The 9,626-nt window shown below is 47.4% G+C and overlaps 1 protein-coding gene across 1 annotated transcript; it reads right to left on the bottom strand.

Annotated features, from left to right (window-relative positions):
• Positions 1-1,322: 1,322 nt before the first annotated feature.
• Positions 1,323-8,433, bottom strand: PRAMEF25 (PRAME family member 25). Its single transcript, NM_001310134.3, has 4 exons — positions 8,300-8,433; positions 5,221-5,529; positions 3,967-4,548; positions 1,323-2,216 (listed from the first exon to the last, which is right to left on the bottom strand). Exons 2-4 carry the CDS (start codon positions 5,511-5,513, stop codon positions 1,655-1,657), a joined length of 1,437 nt encoding a protein of 478 aa, NP_001297063.1. The 5' UTR covers positions 5,514-5,529; positions 8,300-8,433; the 3' UTR covers positions 1,323-1,654.
• Between the last annotated feature and the right edge of the window lie 1,193 nt (positions 8,434-9,626).

The raw sequence follows: 9,626 nt of genomic DNA, 5'->3' as shown, positions 1-9,626 counted from the left end.
GAGAGGGAAAGTGTTATGAGAAAATCTCTCATCAATCTGACCTAGCTCCCCAAAAAGATGTAACTTTTAAAATGTCAGATGGAAATATTTAAAAAGTGTTACATGCCTGTATAGTTTTAGTATTTTACTTAAAGGGAATGTGGCTGTCTTTACTGGCTACAACCAGTTTAATTCAAGAAGGGCTGCTGGTCATCAGGGGAACAAGCAAGGTTTGGTGCTGCCCAGAGTCTCCAGCTAATACACAATATGGACATACCCTTCCAGGGCAGCGAGAAGAGAGTGGGTCCTTGTGCAGTGCAGCTGACATCCACCAACTAAGGCTTCTGGAAGCATGTGGAGACTCACAGGGAGTGGGCAGGGTCTCAGCATCTGGCTAGCGGTGAAAGACCCTGAGAAGAAGGTGCTTTCCGTGTGGATTGGCTCACTGTTCTTGCCCAGTAATGTTCCAGGCCTTTGGTGTCCACCTGGTGTGTATTAACCCACTGAACAGCCACAGAAACTAACAAGGATTTAACAGACATCTAAAGAAGTGAAGAACTGGAGGAGGCCAAGCCAAGCGTGGTGGTCCACGCCTATACTCCCTGCATTTTGGGAGGCCAAGGCAGGAGAATCACAAGCTCAGGAGTTCCAGATCAGCCTGGGGAAGACAGCGAGGCCTTGTTTCTACTAAAAAAAAGTATCCAGGTGTGGTGGCTCACACAGCTGTAGTCCTAGCTACTCAGGAGGCTGAGGTGGGAAGATCGCCTGAACCCAGGAAATTGAGGCTGCAGTGAGGTATGATTGTGCCACTGCACTGTAGCCTGAGTGACAGAAGACCTTTAAAAAACAAAAACAAAAGCAAAAGCCTGACACAGTGGCTCACACCTGTAATCCCAGCATTTTGGTAGGCCTACTTGCATGAATCACCCAAAGTCAGGAGTTTGAGACCAGCCTGACCAACATAGTGAGGAAACCCTGTCTCTACTAAACATACACAAATTAGCTGGGCACGGTGGTGCATGCCAGTAATCCCAGCTACTTGGGAGGCTGAGGCAGGAGAATCATTTAAACCCCAGGTGGAGGTTGCAGTCAGCTGAGATGGCACCATTGCACTCTAAACTCCAGCCTGGGCAACAAGAGTGAAACTCTGTCTCCAATAAAAGAATGGGAGGAAACTGATTACAATAACCAAATTTCATTTAAATGCCTTGATTTTCTTGGGCTGCATCTTATTGATTGGACAACTCAGTCAGTGCCTTTTGTTTTTTCCATCAATAACTGAAGATTCCTGAGGCTTAAACTGGAAAACAGGTTACTTAATAATAGAGGGCACCAGACAGATTCTGCTCAGTTTTCCTTTATTTCTGATTGTTTCTTTACAACCATCCATGCAAGAGTAACTCCCTCATGTATTCTCAAGCCTGAATTCCACTCTAGACATTCAGATTCCCATTTTCGACTCTACAGGATACACGTTCCCAAAGTCCCATCGAATCCATGGCAACATTTCCCCCAAGTCCTGCCCCTGCTTGATCAGCATTCCTTTCCCACTTTCAGAGCCCATGTGTGAAACGATGGGTTCTGTGCTCCCTTTAGGATGTACCTAAGACCTAGGTTTTAGTTTCCAAGTGTCCAGAAGAAAGCGTTTGACATACCCATCCAAATAGGCAGGCATTCAACAGCAGTATTGATCTGCCTCCAGGTCATAAAATGACCTGTTGCCACAGTCAGGGCAGTAGTCAGTACCGAACAAGATCCTCTTGGGGTGCCTTAAGTCCCTAACTCTCTTCATCAGCTCAGCCCTAATCTGAGTAAATCTGCTCCAGCAGAGAGTACCATCAGCACCATAACTCTCCCGTGGGGCAGGATACAGCTCCAGGCATAAGTTTTTGAGTATGATTGTGTGGCTCAGCAGGTTCTCCAGGGTGGCCATGGAGATGGGATTTCCACAGAAGCTGAAGGTGTTGAGCTCAAAGCAGCGGCTCAGGGCAGGCAGGATGGCGTTGACTTGGGAGTCTATGATGCCACAGTCATCTAAATCCAGGTACTCAAGGGTGGCTGCAACTTTTTCTAGGAGAATTTGGAGAGGCACAAGACTGTAATTGGTCAGTCTGATGCCACTCAGGTCCAGGGTCTTTAGTTGACTGATACTCGGGCACTGGGATAGATGCTTCAAGTCTGATTCCAAAAGCACACAGTTAGTTATTGTGAGGACCTTTAACGAGGTCTTCAGACAGCTGGGGAGAGAGAGCAAGAAGTTAATTCTGGGGAATCATAGGGGTGAGTGGAGGGTGGTGGGGAATGGCTTCAAGGTAATGGATGGAGACCATTTTGCCCAAGTCCAGGATCATTCTCATGGCCGGATGGTCAACACTTCGGATGATGTGTGATGAAGAGCTTTGCCACCGAGGTCAATTCCACTTTAGGCCCGGCCCAGTAACTCACACCTGTAATCCCAGAACTTTGGGAGGCTGAGACTGGTGGATTCCTTGAGATCAGGAGTTTGAGACCAGCCTGCTGAACATGGCAAAACCTCCTCTCTACTAAAAATCCAAAAATTAGCCAGCTGTGGTGGCGGGAGCCTGCAATTCCAGCTACTTGGGAAGCTGAGGCAGAAGAATCGCTTGAACCCAGGAGGTGTAGGTTGCAGTGAGCAGAGATCATGCCACTACACTCCAGCCTGGGTGACAGAGAGAGACTCCGCATTAAAAAAAAAAAAGGAGAAAAAATAATTCCATTTGAGGCTGAGTCATTTCACCATCATTTATAGGAATGGATCAAGTTCACAGAATCCCTAAAGCTCCCTTTCCTCATCTGTCAGGCAGAAAACCACATCCCTGGGCCACAGAAGCCCAGTGGAGATGCAGGCATAAAGGACAAACCCAGACAGGATCCTGCAACATCAGCTGGGGTGGGCGGGCTGCAGGCGTCCCTGACACGCCTGTATCATCAGCAAACCATCTATCACTTTCACCATTCTTTGTGCCTGCTCCCTGACCCTCTGTTTCAGAATCATACATTTCCTAGGTAATTAATTTACCTGGAGCTCAAAAGAAACTTTTACAACAGGGAATTAGAGATGGGATCATTCATGTTCACGGAACTGTGGGGCACAAAGCTGATTTTCTGACATGTGCAGATTTGCTGAGCATTCCCCTCTTCAGTGACCACTTCACTTCCCTACTTCCCATCATCTTCTTAAAAATTATCTTGTTGGCTGGGCGTGGTAGCTCTCGCCTATAATCCCAGCACTTTGGGAGTCCAAGGTGGGCGGATCACCTGAAGTCAGGAGTTGGAGAATATCCTGGCCAACATGGTGAAACCCTGTCTCTACTTAAAATATAAAAATTAGCCAGGTGTGGTGGCCCACGCCTGTAATCCCAGGCACTGAGGAGGCTGAGGCAGGAGAATCGCTTGAACCTGGGAGGCAGAAGTTGCTGCGAGCTGAGATGTCACAACTGCACTCTAGCCTGGACGATCATAGTGAAAATCCATCTCAGAAAAAAAAAAAGTTATCTTGTTTGTTTTTACTTTTATTTCTTCATTTCTGACAGGGGTCTTGGGATGTTACCCAGACTGGTCTTAAACTCCTAGGCTCAAGCTATCCTCTTGCCTCAGACTCCCAAAGTGATAGGATTACAGGCATGAGCCACCGTCCCTGGCCTATTTTTCATCATCTTAACTTAGACACACGTCCTCAGGAAGAATTCAGAAAGGCACCCTCACTAGATCTGAACCCCCCAGTAGCTAGCTTCCTAGTATGGCAACCTCTCTATAGCATCTCCCCTAGCTGATCCCTCTGCCTCTATTGGGATGGTTGCATGATACCCATTTCAGGACAGGGCCGCCAACAGGACAATGTATGGACATTCTAGTGTCCCCTTCACTGTTTCATCCTCATAGGCTGGCTCACAGTAGATGCCCACTAGCGTTTAGTGAAACAGGCTCTGCTGTGGTCTGCAGAGAAAGCTCACCACCCTCCCTCACCTGAGCAGCTGGTCCAGGTGGCCTTCGAGGAAAGAAACAGAGTTCATATAAAGCTTTTGGAGGCAGTGCAGCTTGAGGAACTGAGTGGTGAACTGGGTAACAATCTCCTTCTTCTGCTCTGGGGAAACGTAGCGAGAGACATCCATGTGGGAGAGAACGAGCTTCTGAAGATTCCTCATGTGGCCCAGGTATGGGGTAAACTGTGTCAGGATGGGCAGTACCCACTTGCAATTCACTTCCACCTCCTGGATACAGTCTAGGTTCACCATTTTCAGGATGCTTCTGATATTGCGGAAGGGCATTCCCAAAATTTTCAGCTTCTTACAGCACAGGTGTAGTAAATCTTTCCTCTGCTTGACCCATAGAAGGAGGCAGGTGAGGTGTTCATCCAGAGTCCTGTTCTTGAGCCAAAGTTCTACGAACACAGTCAAGGGCTGCCGTCCTCTCATCCTTGGACAGTCCTGCACTGGTTTTTTGTTCCTCTTGGCATTGAGGAAGCACCCACGGGCCATAGCTTCAGACCAAACCATCCAGAAGTTCTCACAGACATCCTGTAAATCCAGCACTTGAAGTTTCCACCTCCTGTGGGAAAATAGAGGTGAGACTGAGAATTTCAGAACTCATTTCTGAACTTAAACTCCACATCCTGGATAGCAGCTCCTCCCCTCCCTGCTTCTTGTCCCTGTCTCTGACATTTCTCCACCCTGTTTTCCCCTTGGATCCTGCCCACTTTCACATTTTTTTTTTTTTTTTTTTTTTTGAGACCAAGTCTCCTTCTGTCACCCAGGCTGGAGTGCAGTGGTGTGATGTCACCTCACTGCAACCTCTGCTTCCCCGGTTCAAAGGATTCTCCTGCCTCAACCTTGCAAGTAGCTGGGATTACAGGAGCCCAGCACCATGCCCAGCTAATTTTAGTATTTTTAGTAGAGTTGGGGTTTACCATGTTGGACAGGCTGGCCTCCAACTCTTGACCTCGGCCTCCCAATGTGCTGGGAATACATTGTGAGCCACCGTGCCCGGCCCAGTTCTCACTTTTCATGCTGGCTTTCAGTGCCATTAGGGGAGAGGTTCCTGTTACCTCCATGGACCTGGCATGGTCAGCAGTGCTTTCCCTGAGGAGCTGGTGAATGGCCAAGGCCTCTCAGCTTCCTCACCACCACCATCGCCCCTTGGGCCTCCTCACTTCTCATGACCCAGCTGTTCCTTCGGTTGGACACCTGGGCCCTCCCCACCAGCCCACCTGGCCCACCTCACCTGGGACGAACCCCGTGGGTAAGCAGTGCATCAAGCCCATTGAGCACAGCTTGGAAGGTCTCCAGACAAGGCATCTTTATCAGAGGCCTCAGAGGGAGGCGGCGGAAGGGCCAGGCCTGTACCATCAGCTTCAGGGCCTCACAGCGTCTCCTGCTGAAGGCCTCCATGAACAGTGGGGGGAAAAGTTCTGTGGGCAGCTCCTCCAGGGTGGACATGGCCAAGGCTTGGTCCCTCAGCACGCTCCGCCCCGCCAGCTCCAGGAGTCTGGGTGGAGTCCGGATGCTCATCTTCATGAATCTGCAGGGAAAACTTCCAGAGGACAAACCCAGAGAAAAGGCATCACTCTCAGGACAAGCCCATGCAATCTCATCTTCTCCCAGGGCCAAAGTCACTGCTTTGGCAATGGTGAAACAGCCCTCAGTTTACTCCAATTCTACTCAGTACTCAGTGGCCATTAAGCCAGCATTCTGCCTCTGCTGCATCAGCATGAGCGTCTCCGAAGCAGTGAGGAGGCAGGGCCACAACTAGCCCTTCCTTTCTATCCAGTGCTCCATCCAGTGACTAGTGAGTGTGGAGGAACCTGAAAGCAAACCCCTCCGACCATTGGGGGAAATTACTAATTACTCAAGGTTCTAAAACAATGGGAAAGGGAGTGTCACAAGCCTACATGCCCACAATTTCAGTTCCTACAAATAAGCTTGTTGGGAACATTCATGGGGCATCCCTAGAACAGGTTCTATTTGTTTTCTTTTCTTTATTTAAGGTTTCCTTCTCTTTCTCTCTCTTCTTTCCTTCTTTCCCTCTCTCCCTCCCTTCTTTCTTTCTTCCCCCCTCTCTCTCCCTTCTTTCTTTCTTGTCTTCTTTCCCTGCATCCCTTCTCTCATTCTCTCTCTCCCTCCCTCTCTCCCTCACTCTTTCTGACAGGGTCTTGCTCTGTTACCCAGCCTGGAGTGCAGTGGTGGGATCTTGGCTCACTGCAGCCTTGACTTCCCAGCCTCCCAAGCCTCCTCAGCCTCCCAAGTAGCTGGGACCACAGTTATGCATCACCACACCCAGCTCATCTTTTATGTTTTGACTTTTTGTAAAGACAGTGGATTTCACTATGTTGTCCAAGCTGGTCTTGAACTCCTAGTCTCAAGCAATCCACCCCCCTTGGCCTCCCAAAGTACCGGGATTATAGTTGTGAGCCTCCACTCCAGCCTTATTATCGAATATTTCAGTGAGAAGCTTTGAAAGCTATGTGACACTGTTATGCATCATTCGCAAGATAGATGATTCCAATACACACCTCTCGCACATATTCAAAATCAACCACTTTGGCTGGGTGCAGTGACTCACCCGTAATCTGAGCATTTTGTGAGGCCAAGGCAGGTGGATCATCTGAGATCAGGAGTTCAAGACGAGCCTGGCCAACATGGTAAAACCCTACCTCTACTAAGCCAGCAAAAATTAGCCAGGTGCAGTGGTCTGCGCCTGTAGTCCAAGCTACTAGGGAGGCTGAGGCAGGAGGATCACTTGAACCCAGGAGGCAGAAGTTGCGGTGAGCTGACATTATACCACTCCACTCCAGCCTGGGAAATAGGCTAGATTCAAAAGAGAGACAGAGAGAGCTACATTTGATTAGACTTCTTAATCTCTACCCAGTTAATCCTGATTGGATTTTTGGCTTTCTTCCAGATTAACTGATTGAATTAGATATTCATCCATCAAAATGAAAGATTTAGGGATAGGGTGAAAGTCCAAGACTCATTCACTGATTCACTCCACAAACGTGGAGTTTTACTAATATGTGTCCTTCACAGTCCTGAGTGTGAGACAGGGAAGGGTTGAATCTCTTCCTGATATTAGACAGAAAGAAAGAAAACTTGAAAGTATCTGTAGAGGGATCCTTGGCCACATCAAATTTCTCAAAATATTTCAGAGTTAAAACAGTTTTACAAAGACAGAGATGACAGTTCCTAAGAAAACACAATAGTAATCTTCATATATCCAGTGATTACCTGGGTGGCATAATTCTTCTTGGTGTTGAGGGAGCTGAGTCTCACTTCGTTGCCCAGGCTGGAGTGCAGTGGTGCCATCTCGGCTCACTGTTACCTCAGCCTCCAAGATTCAAGCAATTCTCATGCTTCAGTCTTCCACGTAGCTGGGATTACAGGCATGCACCCCCACACTCATGTCTCCATTTGGGTGGAAGAGGATGTGATTGCTTTAAAATTAAGGTCAAAGATCCTTTTTTGTTAAGATGTTGCTTTTGTTTTTTGGACAGGGTCTCTCTCTTTTGCCCAGGCTGGAGTACAGCAGTGGTGTGAGCATGGCTCACTGCATCCTCAATCTTCTGGGCTAAAGTGATTCTCCCACACCAGCCACCCAAATAGCTGGGGCTACAGATGCATGCCACCATGCCTAGCTAATTAAAAAAAAAAAAGTAGAGGCCGAGCACCAGTGGCTCATGGCTCTAATCCCAGCATTTTGGGAGGCCAAGGCAGGTGGATCACTTGAGGTCAGGCGTTTGAGACCAAACTGGCCAGCATGGTGAAACCCCCGCCCCTACTAAAAATACAAAAATTAGCCAGGCATGGTTTCAGATGACTGTTATACCAGCTTCTCTGTATGGAGACTGATGCATGAGAATTGCTTGAACCTGGGAGGTAAAGGTTACAGTGAGTTGAGATCGTGCCACTGCACTCCAGTCTGGGCAACACAGCGAGACTCCATCCCCATCCTCAAAAAAAAAAAAACGTTGTGTAGAGGAGGGTTTTTGTCATGTTGCCCAGGTTGGTATCAAACCCCTGGGCTGAAATGATCCTCCCACTTTGGCCTCCCAAAGTGTTGGGGTTAAAGGCATGAGTCACTGCTCCCTTCAAGAATTTTGAAATGACCTAAACCAAAGCACAATCAACTTTTTTGAAATAAAGACAGAACTGTATTTAGAGGAAAACATTCAAAGCTTCAAATTGTTCATATGAAAAAAAAAAAGGACAGGATATAGCTCTGTGCCATCGTAGGCTGCACTGTCACCATCCCAGACCAGCTGACTGTAGGTCAGATGGGAGTGTCCTTACAGAAATTAATGACTTACCAGATCTGGATGTAGTTTAGAAGGTGCTCAGACCTCAGGAAGAACCAGGCAGGAACTCCAGGCTTGAAGACTTTGGGTCTCTCCTGTGGGTCTTTAGAAGCTTTTATTGACGTTTCTAGTCACAACTCCCACCCACGCCCCTCCACGTATCCGCTGCTAGCTTCCAATCAAAAAGTGATATCTGATTGCATTTCTGAAGCTCCAGCCAGTTAATCCTGATTGGGTTTTTGGCTCTCCCCAGATTAATGGATTGAATCAGATGTCCATTCATATCACATATCTATATTCACTTCATGAAGCAAGAAATTGACAGTGTTAGGGATAGGGTAGAAGTCAAGAATACATTCATTCAAGGCCAGGTGAGGTGGCTCACTCCTGTAATCCCAGCACTTTGGGAGGCAGAGGCAGGTGGATTATCTGAGGTCAGGAGTTTGAGAAAAGCCTGGCCGACATGGTAAAACCCTACCTCTACCAAAATTACAAAAATTAGCCAGGTGCGGTGGTCTGTGCCTATAGTCCAAGCTACCAGGGAGGTTGAGGCAGGAGGATCGCTTGAACCCAGGAGGCAGAGGTTGCAGTGAATTGACAATACACCACTGCACTCCAGCCTGGGAAATAGGCAAGATTCAAAAAAAAAAAAAAAAAAAAAGAAAAAAGAGAGAGAGAGAACTACATTTGTACATTTGATTTGACTTCTTAAACTCTACCCAGTTAATCCTGATTGGATTTTTGGCTTTCTTCCAGATTTACTGATTGAGTTAGATATTCATCCATCGAAGTGAAAGAATTAGGGATAGGGTGAAAGTCCAGGACTCATTCAGTGATTCACTCCATAAACATGGAGTTTTACTAATATGTGTCCTTCAAAGTCCTGAGTGTGAGAGAGGGAAGGGTTGAATCTCTTCCTGACATTAGAGAAAAGAAAAAACTTGAAAGTACCTTTGTTGAGGGATCCTTGGCCACATCAAATTTATCGAAATATTTCAGAGTTAAAACGTTTTACAAAGACAGAGATGACAGTCCCCAAGAAAACACAATAGAAATCTTCATGTATCCAGTGATCACCTGGGTGGTATAATCTAATTTTTTTGGTGTGGGGGAAGCTGAGTCTAACTTTTTGCCCCATGCTGGAGTGCAGCGGCGCCATCTCAGCTCATTGTAACCTCCGCCTCTGAGATTCAAGCAATTCTCATGCTTCAGGCTTCCACGTAGCTGGGATTACAGGCATGCACCCCACACCCATGTCTCCATTCAGGTGGAAGAATTACCGAGAGGATGTGATTGGTTTAAAATTAAGGTCGAAGATCCTTTTTTGTTAAGATTTTGT

The sequence above is a fragment of the Homo sapiens genome, chromosome 1 (assembly GCF_000001405.40).
Source record: "Homo sapiens chromosome 1, GRCh38.p14 Primary Assembly".
Lineage (NCBI taxonomy): Eukaryota > Metazoa > Chordata > Mammalia > Primates > Hominidae > Homo > Homo sapiens.
This window is presented reverse-complemented; position numbering and strand designations above follow the sequence as displayed.

Coding starts and splice junctions, on each gene's coding strand:
- PRAMEF25 (NM_001310134.3), bottom strand. CDS start 5,513: ATGAAGATGAGCATCCGGACTCCACCCAGACTCCTGGAGCTGGCGGGG. Junction 4,549..5,220: donor ACCCACGGGGTTCGTCCCAG/GTGAGGTGGGCC, acceptor ATTTTCCCACAG/GAGGTGGAAACTTCAAGTGC. Junction 2,217..3,966: donor CACCTGGACCAGCTGCTCAG/GTGAGGGAGGGT, acceptor CTCTCTCCCCAG/CTGTCTGAAGACCTCGTTAA.